Source organism: Homo sapiens, chromosome 1, assembly GCF_000001405.40.
Source record: "Homo sapiens chromosome 1, GRCh38.p14 Primary Assembly".
NCBI lineage: Eukaryota > Metazoa > Chordata > Mammalia > Primates > Hominidae > Homo > Homo sapiens.
Genome location: NC_000001.11, coordinates 232,849,279 through 232,866,932, shown reverse-complemented (window position 1 = coordinate 232,866,932; position 17,654 = coordinate 232,849,279). Strand labels below are relative to the sequence as shown.

Sequence of the window (17,654 nt, the reverse complement as noted above, 5' to 3'; positions counted from 1 at the left end):
AAGGTAAAGTGTACATACACACACACACAAGGAAAGAAAAAGAAAAAGAAACAACCGGAATATTCCTCAAGAAGAAAATGGTTAATTATGTTACATCCAAATAATGGCTGTTGTTCAGCTTCTGAAAATAGATCTGTATACATTAACCAAGAGGAAAATCCATGATATATGTTTAGTGAAAAAAGAACACTTCCATATTGTGCATGTGGAATACGTTACACTTTGGGCAAAAGAGGCAGAAAAAGAGAGAGAGAGGGAGGGAGGGAAAGAGACAGGAACAGAGGGAGATTTATAGACATACCATTGTGAAAGGATGAAATTGAAGGGAAACAGGTGAGATTAATAACCTTTTACTTGATTAACTTTAGATGACAGGCCCCATGTATTAAGATACTTTTGTCAAATTATAACATGGTTAAACAAGGCTGACCAGGATGGAGAGGGGCCTGGAAGCCATGGTGCCTTCTCCATAAGATGTGTGAGAATGGAGAGAGAGAATACAAGGAAAACACATAATAAACACTCAATCTTATATAGGCTTCAAGTAACTACAAGTTTTGCCTGGAGAAGAGATGATAATTGGAGCTTCAAACATGAGAAGAGACAGTATTAGAGTCTGTCCTCTGTCAATGTTGAGTGGCGGCTGCTGGAAAGTAGGTTGCAGGTGGAAAAAAGAGAGGATTCCCAAACCCATGGAGAGCTCCTACCACATGCCTCAGTCGCCCTAACAGTCTTCCTCCGGGCGTAGCCTAGGAGGTAGGACCAGCCTGTTTTTAGGGATCCTTCCAAGTCAAGTGTCACATTCAAGGTACAAGTCAAAATTAGTTGGCCAATTGGAAAGTGGATCAAAGATTCCTCCCATACTTACTCATTCCAGTTGTAATCAATCAGGGTCAAGAAAGGAGGATTAGAAGGATTCATGAGTGATTTCATGGCAAGATTTTGTGACACTTCAAATGGCAATTTTTACTGATGGTGACCTAGTTAGCACATACTGTACTATGGTAGATGTCAAAACCTCAATCTTCCATGCACAGGTTTTATTATCAAAAGTCCAAAAGAATTTTGTTAATTGGGTGAGTCTGCAAGCAAAAGGCTCATGAAAGCATAGCCTTAGATAGAGTCTGGGGGGTGTTTATCTCCCACGGTAGGAAAGCACTAGAGAAGCAGTGTGGTCACAGGTGGCTGACATGTGTCTGTGTCGCATGGATCTGCCTTATCTTCTCTAGAAGTTGGAAAACATAACACAATGAGGTAGAGTGGGAAGAGTGGCAATTTTTAGAATCAGTTCAAGTGCTGGCTCTGCAACAGGTTAGTGAGTCACAATGAGTGAGTTATCTACCTCTCCAAGCCTCAGTTTCCTTATCTGCAAAACAGGAGTGATGCCAGATTATAAAGAAAAAAGGATACAACAAACACATCCAATCCCCAGGCTGTAAATAGGCACTTACTAACATTAGTTTCTTCCTACTCTCTTTTTTGATAGCACGTTTCTGCCCACCACTATGTTCTCAGGAAATCAAAGTGGAAGATTGCAATTGCTCTGTCTGACCCCAGTCTACTCTCTCCTGCGTGCTTGTTGTTGTCCTTGTGGTGTGAGCCGGGCTTCTTCAGGGAAGCAGTGATGCGGCGCAAAAGGAACACATGCGTGCATTGCTGATGTACATTCTGTGGGAGAGACAGACGTGAGGCTATCTTTGGATTTCCATGGCTTTTATAATTGGGGTAGTCATACATCATTTACACTCACATAAAGATCCTGTTTTTAGTTTAGAAAGGGTTGTTTTAACATTTTTTTTCATCATTACACAAGTAAAGCATATTTTTGGTTGAAAAATTTAAAACTACCAAAAAGCCGATAGGAGGAAATGAAATCCATCTATAATTATACCACCTAGAGAGAACTGCTTTTAATGTTTAGGTAGGCATCATTTGAGATCTATATGTATAGATACAAATATAGATAGACACTTAAATAGGTATCTAGGTATATAAATAGGTATATAATAATACATTCAGTAGATCAAAATAGATAAATAGTATATTAAAGTATCTAATAGGTAATTTAAATAGATATATAATAATAAATATATTTTATTTAAGATATAAATAGGTATCTAATAGTTTTATTATACCTAACTAGGTATATAAAGATGTCTGCTGTAGAAATATACATGTACTATTTGAAATGCATGCTGATTTAAAATTACTGCAAAAAGAAAGTGCAGACAACTTTGCCTCTGGGAAAATGTAATCTTAATGATACATGCACCTATTCTCTCTCCATTCAGTGCCTAATGTGGGTGATGACTGTGAATAAGGACATAAGGGAAATATCACCGGAGGGTCTTTCAGAGGCCCGAGGAAGTAGGATTCCAAGCAACAGTTTATGGTCTTCTTTTTTTTTTTTTTTTTTTGAGACAGAGTCTCAGCCTGTCGCCCAGGCTGGAGTACGATGGCGTGACCTCAGCTCACTACAATCTCTGCCTCCCGGGTTCAAACGATTCTCCTGCCTCTGCTTCCCGAGTAGCAGGGATTATAGGCACCGGCCACCATGCCCAGCTAATTTGTGTATTTTTAGTAGAAATGGGGTTTCCTCATGTTGGCCAGGCTGGTCTTGAACTCCTGACCTTGTGATCTGCCTGCCTTGGCCTCCCAAAGTGTTGGGATTACAGGCGTGAGCCACCGCGCCCGACACAGTTTATGGTCTTCTTATTGCAGGTCTGTAAGCAACAACTTCCTTCCTGGCTCTCTAGACTCTCTAGAAGAAAGAGCAAAATTTCAGCGTTCCCTATGCGTGTTTGAGAGCATATGACAGCCCAAGAGGAGATGTGAAGAATACCATGGAGAGTGCCAGGGGCCCATCTGCCTCCAAGCATGTTGAGATGGTTGACAGCAAGGAATAAGCATTTACAAGATGGCTAGACAAATAAAATACCATGACAACATGGAGTAAGTCTGGATAGAGACACTGTCACTGATAAATAAGACCCCCTGGTTCATGGAGTCCCTCGGAGCCTAACCACAAAGATGGACCTTAGAGATCGGAATAATTAAGTGTTTGTTTTTTATGACTAATGATAAGACGGCATATGGGCATATATCCTGTGGGATGAATATTTTACACACTTAACCTTATTAAAACAGCTTGGGTGGGTAGATTTCTTCAGGCAGTTTTAAAGCATTATGCTATCTCCAGGAAAGCAAACGTCTTCTGGCTATTGTGTGAGCAGATGGGAAGTGCTGAGAAAATCTGGAGATCAGACTCTTTGGCAACCATAGCACCCTATTAAATTGGTTTATACAATGATGGATACCCACAATAAACTAACAAGGTGGTTTCTGAAGTTGCCAGAATTTTCTCTTTTTTTGTATTTCAATTATAAAAACAGTAAAAATAATCTGTACATTTGTCTTTGGGTATATACTAGAAAGGTGAGAGAAAAGATAAGGGAACTCAAAGACTTTCTTAATTCTAAGGCCACCTTTGCCCGGATGACAAGCATCCCTTTTACGGTCCTTTGCTACCTAGCCATTCTGCTAGCTTATACTCAAGGAGGTTGTGATAGATCCAGCATCCAACTTCAGAAACCAGTCGATCATTTAATTCTTATTAATTATAAGAAGAACAGAACTATGCCATTCTGTACCTTCTTAAAGATAGAAACTACTTTAGAACAAAATTTATCCATGTTTAGTACTTAATTCAGGCAGATTTCTAATGTTTAACTATCTAACTGGAGGTCAAAGATATCAAAAGTTGCTAATAAGATCTAACATAATCAATACCATTCTATTGCATTACAAAGCCAAACTTTGATGGAAGTCAAAGCCCTATTCAAGACATTTCACTGAGCATACAACTTCAAATCAGTTCATTGATTGTTGTACATTTAAATCAAGCCGTTAAATTAACTTGACTGATCCTTCCAAGTGATCATTTATATTGAAATGAGCTGTTTGGGAGGGTGATGCAAACACAGCTTAAAAGCCTTCACAAATAGTAGAGTTGTGTTGGTGGTGGTGGAGTTTGTTGGTTGGTTTCGTTTTTTTTTGTCTTTGAGACAGGGTTTCACTCTGTCACCCAGGCTGAGTGCAGTGGCGCAATCACAGCGCACTGCAGCCTCGAGCTTGACCAATCCTCCCACCTCAGCCTCCTGAGTAGCTGGGACTACAGGCATGCATCACTAAGCCTGGGTAATTTTTAATTTTTTTTTTTTTTTGGAGACAGTCTTGCTCTGTTGCCCAGGCTGGAGTGCAGTGGCACGATCTCAGCTCACTGTGCAACCTCTGTCTCCTGGCTTAAAGCAATTCTCCTGCCTCAGCCTCCCGAGTAAGCTAGGACTACAGGCACACACTGCCACGCCTGGCTAAATTTTTGTATTTTAGTAGAGACGGGGTTTCAACGTGTTTCCCAGGCTAGTCTCGAACCCCTGAGCTCAGGCAATCCTCCTGCCTCGGCCTCCCAAAGTGCTAGGATTACAGGCATGAGCCACCACACCCAGAGTTTTCTTTTTTAGACATGTTCTCACTCTGGTTGCCCAGGCTGGAGTGCAATGGCACAATCTCGGCTCACTGTAGCCTCGACCGCCTGGGCTCAGGTGATTATCCCACCCCAACTCCTCGAGTAGCTGTGATTACAGGCGTACACTACCACACTTGGTTAATTTTTTGTATTTTTAGTAGAGTCGGGGTTTATCTATGTTGCCCAGGGCGGTCTCAAACTCCTGGACTCATGCAACCTGCCCACCTCAGCCTCCCAGAGTGCTGAAATTACTGGTGTGAGCCACTACGCGCGGCCTAGTAGTTTTTAGAGGCCCCAGGGTTGCTTCCTAAATGACTGTGACCTTACTACATTTTATACACAACTGAACAAAGCACGAACTCTCAGTTCTATTCCAGCTTCACGGAGCACCAAGAAGGAAATTGTTGCTTAAATATTTGCAAACGAAAGTTTAAAAGACCATACAGTGTTGTTAAAATCCAGTTTTCACTATTTCTGAGTTGAACCTCTGACACTTCTACAGGTATGGCCAATGAGAAGAACCTGCATTCAATGTAGAGAGAACAGGATTCTTGTGCTACTGGAAATCTTTAACAATTATAAATCAAACAGAGATTAGGCTTTTAGAATAACATTCTCACATAGAAAATTCCTTGATTGGCCATCTAGGTATATTCCCTGGCTTGTTTAAGCAAAATCAACCTTGTGCCATTCTGCACGACAACAGCTCTGCCCAGCAGTCACCAATCATCATTAGAACAAGGCTTAGGAGTCAGTGATTTCACACATTCTTCTGTTATCCTTGAGCATCCCTGGGCATTTTCAGTGGATAGCCATGAGAAACAAAAAATCAATTTGCCACTGTATAAACTGCCAAATAAGAATCATGACAGTTTATCCAGCCTGTTTGTGAAGATGCCCACAAACCCTATAGAGATTCTGCCAGCCAGCTTAGGCCGCAGGTCTCCATCCTGCCTTTGCGAATGTTCTCTCCCCCATGGCTGGAACCAGGTAATTCTCACTGCAGGCTCAGCAATGTGCTTTGTCCCTGGAATCAATTTTGGTCTGAGGCAGGAGGCATTAGGCCAGTTCCAAAGGTGATATTCAAAGGATATGCACATATACACACACACATATATATACACACAGACACACTCATACATGCATGACACACCCATGCATACACATAACGTTTGTTGTTGCTGTTGCTGCTACTTTGACCTGATGTGGTAACTCCGTTTCTCTAATCAAGCTTCCCTCCTGGGCATTACTTCTAGGTTCTGGTCTAGGATCCCAGCACACTGCTGATTCTGGGTTTCTACTTATATCATCTCTGTCCCCTTTCTGGGACAAGAGCCCTGCAGCCTATAGACAGATGTCTGCTACACTGACTATCATTCAAAAAGACTGTGTACTGCACACTCCAGAGCACCCTCCCTTTGTAAGAACTTCTTATTGGAAGACATTATTATGTCTTTCTGTCGCCATTTTGAACCCTTTGCTCGCACTGAGCATGGATGGCTGTATTGACTGGACACTTTGCTTTCCCATCATACCACCACTTCACAGCACTTTCAGCTGGTCCCTCTCATCTGGGTGCTCAGGTGGGTCCGGTTCCAGGACTTGGCCATTTCCCACTTTCCAGAAATATTTTAGAAATTACTAAAAACTCACTGGGAGTAAGAGTTGCCAGGTTTAGTAATAAAAGCACAGGATGCCCAGTTAAATTTGAATTTAAGATAAACAATGAATAAGGTTTTAATATAAGTATATCCCATACAATTATAAAATGCTCTTCATTGTTTATGTGAAATACGAATTTACCCAGGTGTCCTGTGATTGACTTGGCAGCTCTATTTGAAATGCCATGTTGAGTTCACAGATGCCTTTTGAAGATTGCAGCCTCTGGGGTCTGTTTTCTTACTAAAAGCTTAACGCTTGGGGCCGTTCGCTCCACTACCTTGCTCACACCTCCTCCAGGAAGAACAGAGTTGGCTCTGCCCAGCAGCCACCTCTATGCTGTGGAGAAATCTTGCTCTTCAAAGCTTTTCTTGCTATTGGATATGTGGAGTTCTTTGAAGTGATAAGACTCAAGTTCTTTGTCTGGAGGAACCACTGTCCACTGTATTTCCAAGTTTCTTAAGGATTCCCTTGCTCAAGGAATTCTAACAGTATCCAGGGCCCTGTGCTGTCTTTCTGGGCTTCAGGGTGTCGGGAAAAGCAGTGCTTAGCTCTCTTTCTCACTTTGGACAGAATGTGAACATTCCTCAGTCACTCAGTCTGAAACCTCCCTTGCCCTTCTCTCTTGTGTTTAATCTTCTCTGGCCCCTTTTCCACAGACCTTATCTCTATTCAGTTCCAGTCAGTCCCACAGGCAATTGCATTTGTGGTTCTACTTCTCCCAAGTCTTTCTAATTCTCAGCTCTTTCTGAAATTGCAATTACCTGGGGAGGTTTGAGAAAATAGCTGTGCCTGGTCCATATCCCCAAAGATGCTATTTAATTGGTGTAGAGTAGCTGCAGGCATTGATAGCTGCAAAGGCCCACCAGGTGATTCTACTACCATTCAGTGGCGTCTGGCCCCTGCTTTAGGGCTTTCCTTCAGGACTGAGGACTCCCTGGTGCAGCTGCAGTCCAGGTGTGGGAGCAGCAGGCTGACTCGGTGCATTCAGGGGCCACATTCACCCCAGAACATCATTATCCTTCCCCAGTGCCATTGCAAGTCATTTCCTACAATACTGTCACATGTCCTCAAATCCTTCCCAATAGAACAAAAGCAGAAAATTATAAAAGTACAGTCCTTTGGGATTTTTTTTCTGTAAATCTCATTGTAATTTGGGTACAATTGTTCGAATTTTTTGTATGAGCTAAACAATCCATATCTCCATCCCCAGTTTAAGACTGGGCTTGCATATTCAGTACAGAACATGAAATGAAATACATAATTGTATAGTAATCATTTTATTCTCAACTATATTCAATTACATGTTAAGATAAAATCTTCATAGCTCAATTTACTGTCCCCGATTGTACTTATCCTCTATTTTGCCCTCCTTCCCTCACTCTGATGCTCTTTATCTGCCATTTTCAAACATTTCCCTTCAAAATGGTTTGAAAGAAAGTTTCTGGAGTGATAACCTGCTCCTACCCCAACTGTTCTCTTGAGTCTATTTGCTAACTGTGATTTAAAATCATTCTCTTTCTCCCTATCTGCTGGTTTGTTTTTTTTTTTTCAGTTAAAAAGGGTCCAGTCTTCTTCACTGTACGTATCACCACCCCTTCTGTCTCTGAGGCTGAAGGATTTCTAGGTAGTTAGCGTCTGTATAATATTGCTCTTCTTTACCAAATATTGGGTAGATAGTTGTGGAGGAAGGGAGGCAGGGAAGAAGAAAGGAAGGAAGGAAGGAAGAAAGAAAGAGAAAAAGGAAGGAAGGGAGAGCAGGGAAGGGAGAGCAGGGAAGGGAGAGCAGGGAAGGGAGGGAGAAAGGAAGAAGAAAAGAAGGAAAGAAAGAAAAGCTCACTTAGCAAAACCTGAAAATAAGCAATATGCAGTAAAATAAAATTCAGTTTTTAATGATTTCCTACATTTCGATTGTCCTAGAATTTTAGCATTCTCCAGAAATGTATTTTCATTGAGATAAATAGAAATATCCATGTCACATAGTTGAAAGGTTAAAAACCTTCGTTCATCTCACTAGGGAAAGTAATGGGTCTTCAGATAAATTAGGCAAAGCTAAAATGCTTACACACCTCACATAGTCTTTGCCATACAAGTGTGAATTCAAGCCAGAAATGGCTATCATTATACACCCTCATTTACAGGTCAATATATGGCACATGATAGATACTCAGTGTTTCTGAAGAAAAGAAGAAAAACTAATTGTATCTTGCCATTGCTGTTTCTTCTAATTCACCTGCTTAATGCTCAAAAATATTCCTCCAAGGATTGTCACTTTCTTACCTCCGACATTTTAACTTCAATTCTTAGAGTGTTTCTTGGATTCTCCATGCAGTGTTTCTTCCTCTCTGATTTTTCTTTAGAGAATGCTTTCTGCACCATTGCGTATAATCCTGTTAACCAAGGATTTCTGCTCTTTTCCACCCAAGTGCAAGATATGATGTATTTTCCTGAGAATTTAGAGTTAGAGAGGGGAAAAGTCATCCAGTTATTCTGCCCACTCCAACCCCTACGTCCCATCCCAAGATCTTGAAGCAAAGTTTATTTTATGCTAGCTCTGGTGAGCTAGCTGGCCCATGGTCTAACCTGTTGCTCTTAATTATTTATTTATTTATTTATTTTGAGACAGAGTCTTGCTCCGTTGCCCAGGCTGGAGTGCAGTGGCACATGATCTTGGCTCACTGCAACCTCCGCCTCCTGGATTCAAGCGATTCTCCTGCCTCAGCCTCCCAAGTAGCTGGGATTATAGGCACATGCCACCATACCTGGCCAATTTTTGTATTTTTAGTAGAGATAGGGTTTCACCATATTGGCCAGGCTGCTCTTGAACTCCTGACCTCAAGTGATCCACCCACCTCAGCCTCCCAGAGTGCTAGGATTACAGGCGTGAGCCACTGCGCCTGGTCCTGTTGCTCTTAGTTAAAAAGGAACTGTTGTTTTTGACAGCTCCCTTAGGTTTGAACTTCCCTACACTGTTTCAAATAGTCGGTTCCTTTGGAACGCTCTGGAGCACTCTTCTTATTGACTGCCTCTCCTCCTAGCAAAACATCTGAGCCACTACTCTGTGCTGGCTGGGAGATAGCCTCTGGTCTTCTCAGCTTTCCTCTCCTGATGTTGAATCCCTGCTTTATGATCAAGTTGAGATGAGGAAAAAAGGACCCCAGTATTTTCAGCCTTCCCTGATTTGGGGAGAGCCTCCATTTCCTGAGGACTGGCTAGATAGAGGAAGGTAGACCCTGACCTCTCAGGGGAATGAGAATTTAGGCTTTCACCAGGAGTGTAGCCTCTTCAACTTGAGGTTGGAAGGAATGAGAAATGATGGCAGCCTGGCCCTTCCAGTGAGATATAGTGATGCCTGACTGGAGCTAAGAGTATAGGAGGCCCTGCCTTCTTGGTCCCTACCTGCTGGGAGTGCAGCTTCTGTCAAACCCACCAAGCTGACAGGAGGTAAAGGGAGAGGGAGGGAGCAGGTGGTTGTGGCTCAGATACCACAAACACACTGTTCTTCCTGAGTTTTAGTAGACTTTCTGGGATAATTATTTGTCATTTGCTGTTTATACCATTAGGAAAATTTTCAGAGATTTTACATAGTTGTTTGTTTTTTCTCATTTTCAATAGTTTTGCTTTTTTTCACTGGGGAGTGGGCCCAAGTTGCTTCTTACGCTGCCGTCTGGGAAGTATATCTTCCTGTTGAGACTTTTCCTAAGAAGCTTGATTAAGGGCTTATCCTGTATCTGTAAAGGTCACAGGTTTGGGAGTCTAATGCATCTGGGTTTGATTCCAAACTCTGCCACTGACTAGATGTGTGACTATGGGGAGTCACTTATACTCTCTAAGCCTTGGTTCATCATATATAAATGGTGCTAATACGAATAGTTATTTCAAAGAGATATCCAATAACAGAATCAAGTGCTTAATACAGTGCCTGGCACAGCCTGAGCTCCTAATACACATCAGCTGTTATTTGTTTAAATCTTACAGGAAATGAGGAGCCACTGAAGGAGTTTAAACCAGACTGTGTTATGAGGAGATCCACATTTTAGAATGATCCCTCTCCAGGGCAGGTCAAGTGATTAGGAAACTTGCAGTGGTGCAGAGGAAAAACAATGAAGCACCACAACGAAGCACAAAAGCTGGGGAGTGATGAGTGGAAACTGCAAAAGGAGCAGTGGGGAGGGAGTGTCGATGGGATTTGGTGCCCAGATAGATGCAGGGAGTGAGAGTGAGGAAAAGGAAGTGTGAGAGATCTGCCTTAGGTGTGGGTAAAGACTTCAGAATTCTCATGAATCAAATCTTCCTGCACTCTAGCCTTGGCCTTCCAGGCCCTCACCCCTGAAGAGTTGGAGCAAGCTTCAAACCCAGGTCCTCTATTTCCAGACTCTAGACCTTAGAGGTCTGGGGTGGTTTGCTTGTTTTTTGTTTTGAGACAGAGTCTCGCTCTGTTGCCCAGGCTGGATGCGGTGGTACAATCACGGCTCACTGCAACATCCACCTCCCGGGTTCAAACGATTCTCCTGCCTCAGCCTCCCGAGTAGCTGGGATTACAGGTATGTGCCACCATGCCTGGCTAATCATTCTATTTTTAGTAGAGATGGGTTTTACCATGTTGGCCAGGCTGGTCTCGAACTCCTGACTTTGTGATCTGCCTGCCTCGGCCTTCCAAAGTGCTGGGATTATAGGCATGAGCCACCGCACCCAGGTGGTTATTGTATTTTAATGCCTTGAAAGTAACTCAGCCTTTACCTTCCCATGAGACAGACTGAAATAAGAAAATAACAACAACATCAAATGTTGGTGAGGATGTGGATTAACTGGTGGGTATGTAAAATGGTACGATGACTCTGAACACAGAAAACTTCTTAGAAAGTTAAATATGTACCTACCCTATAACCCAGAAATTCCACTCCTAGATATTTATTCAAGAAAAAGAAAATGTCCCAAAAATATTATCCAAGAATGTTCATTGCAGCTTTATTTATAATAGCTCCAAACTAGAAACAGTACAAGAGTTCATTGACTAAAAAACAGACAAGCTCTCTGTTGCTATATTTATATGACAGAATATACTCCTTATCAATAAAAACAAATTACTGATACATGCCACATGCAACATGGATTAATCTCTAAGACATCATGCCAAGTGAAAGAAGCCTTACACAAAAGCATGCATACTGTTTGATTCCACTTACATGATATTCTACAATAGGCAAAATGAATCTGTGGTGATAAAAATCAGATCAGTGGTTTCCTGAGAGTCAGGAGCAGGGGAATTGACTGGGAAGAGGCACAAGAAGACTTTCTGGTGTCACGGAAATATTCTATATATTGAAAGGAGTGTGAATTACATGGGTATATAATTTGTCAAAAATGATTGAACCATAGACTTAAGATCTGTGTCTTTCACTGTTTGTAAATTATATCCTATAAGAAAATTCTTAAAAATTAAGCAAAATCTCATCTGCAATCTTGACACTTGCCTGCTATTCTGGTGTCACCCCAAGGCTAGCCTTGGCCTTAGTGCCAGGCACTCCATAGCATATTATTTTTTCTACCCTATCTCCAAAAAATGTGGATTTACATAGCCTTAATCCAAGTAAAAGCCAATAGAAAGAAGAAAAAAATATTCACTCTCCATTAAAAGCTAGAAGAGCTAACATAACAGTAAAAGTCCACAGAAGAGCTCCCTTTCTAGGATATGGTATCCTTTCAGTAACCTTGAAATGTGGAAGTATCAGGGCCCAGAGTGGACGGGTCACCCAGCTGAAGATGCCTCTGGCAAATCCTGTCCTGTGCTGTATCCTGCCTACTAAATCACACAGATATTATTCAGCATAAGTCCTGGAAGAGTTTGAATAACTTTCCAAGGGTCCACAGCTGTGGATTATGCATTTTATGATCCATTAGAGCACTACTTAATTATGCGTTTTTCAGAAGCATAGTAAAGAGAAATGGCTTGAGATTCTTCTTAGCTTGTTTTATGGAATGAGAATTAAGCTTCTTTCTGACAACACTCCACGTTGCCACTGGAGCAATTAGATTTTTGGGTATGGTTTCTTTTTTTTCTTGACTACCCCAAGCAACAATAGATATTAATAACAGTGACAGCAGAAAATGAGGAACTTGCCCAATGAGTTATGAGACACATTTCACTGTCAAAAACTATAAGCTCATTTGTTCTCCCATTAATAATCCAGACCCTTGTCCTGAGACTTGCTGATACTATTAGACTTTCTCCCTCTCTGATGATTCAAACCCACATCTGAACCCGCTGTTGGATCATGACGTCAGTTCCTTGCAGTTGTGAATTGGTCTATGAGCCATGGATACATGGCTTCCAGTAAGTCAAAATTCTTTAGAGATGGTTGAGATCTGATTTTTGTTTCTCCACTTTCAAGTCATTCTTTTATCTCATGCATGGTTTAATTTCAGTCTCTCCAGCTAAAGTGGTGAATCATACATTAACCAGATGACTGGACTGTGTCGCACGACCATTGCAATTTACCTTCCATATGGGCATCGCTTTAAAAACAACCACCATCCTTACAAGCAGTACTCATTTCCAAAAGCTGGTGAACAAGCACATTATTTACAAAGTATGTAATCAGGAAACTCGATCCAACTCATTAACTGTATGACATCCCACTCTTTATTTAGACAGTTTACTGGCTGTGGACTTTCATATGGGATCTGTCATCTACACTTCCTGATAATAAAATTTAATTGAAATTTCATTCCTGTACAACAAGATGCCAGTTTAACAGATGGTCTGTAATTGTTATGTCCACATATTTTATATTGGATGGTATCACACACAATTTCACACAACTGCTATTCATTTAAATGCTGAGTTCATTTAAGACATTTCTTTCATATTAAAAACCTTATTGTTTAATATTACTGTAAAATATATCATTAAAATTGATTAGTTAAAATTGAAAAAATGATTAAAACAGTCCTCCTGAAACTAAAAGAATAATTAATGATTATGGTCTGAACTGCATTCCTGAAGAGAGTGAAAATATTTGTACAGAAACATCTAGATTTGTGTGTATGAGGCAGAAATTGACATATAGGCATGGCAGAAGATAAGGAATGTGACATATTTTAAGAAATGATCTAACCAAACCTCAGCCTGTATCCTCATCTATAAAATAAGCACTTAGTTTCTGTTCTGACTGTAAATTTCGGTGCTTTTTTGATCATTCTAAAAATCTCATTTATGTTCTTCTTTAATCTCAATTTTGAATCCACTGACTTAGTATTCAGTACTTTGTACTCAGAAAGCCAAGAATTCTCACCCTTAAAATTGGGGTGGGAAGGGGTTTGCAGGAAAGAAATACATCAGAGGCACCGAATACATAGGGAAGAATTCCAAATCCTTTCATATAACCCAAGTGTCATTCCATCCCAAGTGTCACATTCAGTGCAACTTGAGTACTTACCATTAAGATAATTTTAATCGTTAATGTAATTTCTGAGAGCATTTTAAAGGAACTTAGCAGTATAGTTTGAAAGTACAGGAAATTCGGTCTAGTGTGAAAAGCTGACTTGCTTCTCCTTCATAATGGTGGTATCCTCAACCTCCCTTTTCCACCTCCTCCCTCAATAATTTCAGTTACCTACTGCTCACAATTTTTCTATCTTTCCCACTCAAAATCTGTTCTCAGAAAAGGTTTAAATAAGCTCATTCACTTCAATATAGAAATAACTTATAAGACTCAAAACAACAATTTCCCCAGGGGTATTTGCATTTTAGGCAGATCCCACAGCTTTCTGAAATGAAATAAGACTCTCCAATTACGCAGTGCCAAGCACTGATGGGGTAGAGAAGTCCTGGAGTCTCTGAAACTGTACCGTCCCCTTGGTGACTTTCTTTACATATTCCTACATCTTACCCTGCACTCTATATTTAAGGAACAAACTATTTAAATAAGGAAACATGCCATCAGGCTTTTCTGTGAGGGGATGAAGAAGAAAATAAATGGAAAAGATGGGGGAAGTGAAGAGACCACAGAAGGTGTGGAAAATCCACACCAGAAGTCTTGGAGAAGTAAGTTACCAAGTGATGAAGAAAAAGGAGAGGAATACAGGGAAATTAGTTGAAAATGGTTTCAACCCCCCATGAGCTTGCAGTATGCCAGAAGATATTCTAGTGATATTATTTCAGTATATATCTGCTTATCCAGAATGGCTGTGGATGAGGCACTCTGGTGATTCCATTCTCATTTTCTGCTTGGATTGGAGTTAGCATTTACTTTCTAAGAGGGAATGAAGCCATGCTTGTCTTAGTCACCATTATAACCCCAGCACTTAGCATAAGGCCTGGCATACAGTAGGTACTCAATAATTATCTGTTAAAGAAATGAGTGAATGATTTAGCTGCTGTCAAAAACTTGTACACAATAAAAGTATCTTGAAAGAAATAGTTTTCTTTCATTATTGTTCTTATATCTTTCGGGATGTTTTTCAGGCTTTCGAAGGGTTTCAATCCCACTATTAAAATGATTATTATTGTAAATGTACAGGCCAGAGATTTAGAAAATTGAACTAAATCAATATTATGCCAGGTATAGGCTGAGGCATTAACATTAAACTTCCAGACTACAGAGTCTATAAGACTTCTGCATATAATTGACAGTTGTCTGGTATTGCTACGTGAGAGAGATACCGAATTTAACCTCAGGCACATCCCACTCTTGGCCCTAGGGATCTTCACTTTTCCAGTTGATTTATAAAATGCAAGGCATGCAGTGGCATAGGGATACTATTCAAATATACACATGGGGATACTATTCAAATATACAGACAAACAAAGAGAGCAACTTTTTTTTTTTGTACACTTGGCACGTGCTGAACAGTACTAGGCTCTTATGGATACACGGTGAGAAAGAAAAAGTCCCTGCTTTTAAGGGTCTCAAAGTTAAGACACTCTTAGGACCTCCTAAGTTCAGAAAAGAAAGATTACATCTTCTGTTCTTCTGCTGTATATCTATGAAATTAGACACTTGGCCTGGATTAAATTGTAAGGTCACTTCTAATTATGGCACATACAAATAAATCTTTGGGAGTGATGTAAGTAGGAACGGCCAAATAAGAACATCTGAAAATCTGTTCCTCTATCGAAGAAATAAGGACTGTAGGAAAAAAATCAAATAATCTTTTTCAGAACTTTGGAAATAATCAAAGGCTTGCAAAAATCTGAGGAGAATTTATTCGAGAAAAACAGTTACATCTTAGTAAAAACAACAACCTTTGGGGTGGTGTAACTTGCTCAATTCTCAGAACCCTCTCCCCAGCCCTCTATCCATAAAAACCAACAAATGGTCAATCAAGATATTCATGAAAACCAGAAGACCAGTAGTCACTGGAGAGGGAACAATGGGCTTCTATCTCAAGAAGAAATAGGAAATCTAAATAGATCTAGAACAAGTAAAGATGGTGAGTTATCAGCAAAAAATACTTTCCAAAAAAAGAAAAGCCCAATTTCAGATGGCTTCACTGGTAAATTTTAAAAATGTTTAGAATAGACGTAGCAACAATCTTTCATAAACGCTTCCAAAATTTACAAAAGCAGGGAGGTCTTTCTGAGTCATTCTCTGAAGGAAGAAGTATCCTGATAACAAAGCTAATAAAGCCATCACAAGAAAACTACAAACCGATACCTTTTATGAATATAGAGGCAAAAATTAGCCACAAAATATAAGTAAACCAAAGCTAACAACATATGAAGATTATACAAATAATTACACACCCTAACCAAATACAATTTATCCAAGACAGGCAAGGCTGGTTTGATATACAAAGATTAGTTAATATAATGCACCACATTAATATAATAAAATAATAACTACATGATCATCTCCATAGAAACAGAAATATTTTTTGACAAAATACAATGGCTTATAATAATAAAAATACCGAAAAACTAGGTATAAAAGACAACTTCCTCAATGTGATAGAAGGTATCTATGAAAAATATAGCTAACATCATACTAAGTGGTAAAACACTGAATGCTTTCCTCCTGTGATTATCAAGAAGGCAAGGATGCCTGCTCTTGCCACTTCTATTCAAACATTATACTGGAGGTTCTATCCAGAACAATTAGGCAAGAAAATGAAATAAAAGATATCATGATTCAAAGAAAGAAGTAAAACTATCTTTACTTGATAATGAAATATTTTATATACATACATACATATATACACATATATATACACACATATATACAACTAATTTTGTATATACATACATATATATACACACACATACAACTAATTCTAAGGAAATTTTAAAAACCCAAACTATTTGAACTAATAAGTGAGTTCTGTAAGGATGCAAATATATAATCAATACATAAAAATCTATTGAATTTCTATATGTCAGCAATGAACAATCCAAAAATGAAACTAAGTAAATGATTTTATTTTAAAATGCCCTCAAGGAGAATAAAATGTTTTGGGATAAATTTTTTAAATCAGATGCAAAACTTGTACACTGAAAACTTCAAAGCATCATTGAAATAAATTAAAAATCTAAATAAATGGAAAGACATTTTCATGTTCATGAATTGGAAGATTTGATATAGTTAAGATGGCAATGCTCTCCAAATCCAACTATAAATTCAAAGCAATTCTTAAAAAATCCCAGCTGCATTCTTTGCAGAAATTGACAAGATGATCCTAAACTTCATGTGGAAATAGAAGGAACCAACAATAACTAAAGCACTATTGAAAAAGAACAAAGTTGGATGACCCACATTTTCTGATTCAAACTTACTACAAAGTTATAATAATCAAGGTAGTATGTTAATGACATAAAGATAGATATATGGATAAATGAAATTGAATTGAGATCCTATAGAGAAAAACTTATATTTATGGTCAGTTGATTTTAGACAATGATGCCAAGGAAGTTCAATGGGGGAAAGAATAGTCTTTTCAACAAATAGTACTGGGACAACTGGATAGCCACATGCAAAAGTATAAAGCTGGACTCCTTCCTTACAGCATACACAAAAAATAACTCAAAATGAATCTTAACTCTAAATGTAAGAGCTAAGCCTATAAAACCCTTAGAAGAAAACAGAACTAAATCTTTGTGAATTGGATTGGGTAACATTTTCCTAGATATAACACCAAATGTAGAAGTTATGGGCCGGGCGCAGTGGCTCACGCCTGTAATCCCAGCACTTTGGGAGGCCGAGGCGGGCGGATCACGAGGTCAGGAAATCGAGACCATCCTGGCTAACACGGTGAAACCCCGTCTCTACTAAAAAATACAAAAAATTAACAGGGCGTGGCGGTGCTTGCCTGTAGTCCCAGCTACTCGGGAGGCTGAGGCAGGAGAATGGCGTGAACCCGGGAGGCGGAACTTGCAGTGAGCCGAGATCGAGCCATTGCACTCCAGCCTGGGTGACAGAGTGAGACTCCATCTCAAAAAAAAAAAAAAAAAAAAAAAAAAAAAGGTTAAGAA

At 39.7% G+C, this 17,654-nt stretch overlaps 1 long non-coding RNA gene across 5 annotated transcripts in view; it reads right to left on the bottom strand.

The window, feature by feature from the left end:
* The window catches only part of LOC101927711 (uncharacterized), a 92,142-nt gene that overhangs the window by 40,538 nt on the left and 33,950 nt on the right, over positions 1–17,654 (bottom strand). For all 5 annotated transcript variants that reach the window (XR_949278.3, XR_949279.4, XR_949280.3 and 2 more), the window contains one exon: positions 8,465–8,631. This is a non-coding gene — a long non-coding RNA (uncharacterized LOC101927711). The remainder of the gene's footprint in view (positions 1–8,464; positions 8,632–17,654) is intronic.